At 37.2% G+C, this 1431-nt stretch overlaps 1 annotated feature.

The window, feature by feature from the left end:
* Positions 778-1326: an enhancer, noted in NCBI's record as "OCT4-NANOG hESC enhancer chr2:216136088-216136636 (GRCh37/hg19 assembly coordinates)". NCBI's record gives its function as "activates a minimal SCP1, AML or CMV promoter by ChIP-STARR-seq in primed H9 embryonic stem cells {active_cell/tissue: H9 hESC(primed)}" and the evidence as "EXISTENCE:reporter gene assay evidence [ECO:0000049][PMID:30033119]".

A 1431-nucleotide genomic window follows, 5' to 3' on the forward strand; every position in this document is an offset into this window, starting at 1 on the left:
GATCGCACCACTGCACTCCAGCCTGGGCAACAAAGTGAGACTCCATCTCAAAAAAAAGTGCATGTACCTATAATTTCAGGGGTTCATGTAACACCTGAAGGCCTTGCATCCTAAATTAAAGGCTTGGGGTTTTATATACCTCTACACATCCCAGGTTCCATAGGTTAAAAATCCTGTCTGAAATGGTGAGTTTAAAAATCAATTTGGAGAAGGACATGTACAGAATGACTGTATGCAAAATAATACTGTATAGTTTCTATGTATATATAGTAAAAATATGCAAACTATGGAATAGTGAACATTGAATTCATGAGAGTTGTTACCCTTCAGAGCAAGAAAGGGTAATGAGATGGGGAAAAATGAAGGTGGCCTCAGTTATGCTTATACTGCATCATTTATTCAGAAACTATTGAAGCATATACGGCATATTATTTTAATAAAGCTTGGTGGCAGATGTATAATGAATTTTCATTATTTTATTTTCCATTCTTATCTATAAAGTTGGTATATACCCCAAAATTAAAAGGTTTCATTCAAAAACCTGAAATTATTATAAGATCTAATTCCATTGTCATGTAAAAAAGGTTATTTTTCCAAAACATCCAAATGTAAGTTCATGTTCTGAGAAACATATTTAATTCTCTCTTGTATAAAATCACCCAAGCTTATTTTCAAATACAAGCTAAAATGTTAATATTAAAAAGCAAACCATTGTTCTCTTCACAGAGTCCTCAAGTAGATAAGCCTTTATTTTTATGGCCATAATTTGATTTCTTGATAGGGAAAGAAGGAGAAAATTCTTCTGAAACTAATGTTATATTGGAACAAAATTTATTATCGATCCATATTCATTCTACTACCAGATATAATGAAAGTTTGGATAAGGTATTATTCTTTCTGGGGATTTTATGTATAGCAAAGTCAGTGTGAAGCCGACTATGTCATTGCTTGAGAGTCTGAACCTAATCGCCACTTAATTGATTCATGCTTGTAGCTGCACTGCTGCATAGCATCCCAGAGTGCTCAGATGCTACCTGTCAGGTGCATCCCATCACAATGCAAAGCAGCAGGTCTTGTGCCTGCCTTGATTTAAATGGAATGCTGGAGGAATGAAGCAGCCCAGGCAATCTGGAAGGCTGGTAGGGAAGAGGATCAGCTTCTGTTTCACCTCCCCATTGATAAAACTGACAGATCCCAGGCAGGCCTGAGGAGGTAAATTATGACCATAACATTAGCTAACTGTGGGGTAATATACACTGCTGGCCTATGGGGTCAGATCAAAGCTCCAGTCCTCCCTGTCCTTGACACCTAAGGAGAAGCAACATTAATTTCTGAGGATCTTTATTGGGCCACAGTGTTGAGGCAGAGCGTGGAACTTTTAATGTCATGGTAAGAAAAGGAGGCAGAAGCTTATTCTCTAACTATGCTCTC

Source organism: Homo sapiens, chromosome 2 (assembly GCF_000001405.40).
Source record: "Homo sapiens chromosome 2, GRCh38.p14 Primary Assembly".
NCBI classification, from domain to species: Eukaryota; Metazoa; Chordata; class Mammalia; order Primates; family Hominidae; genus Homo; species Homo sapiens.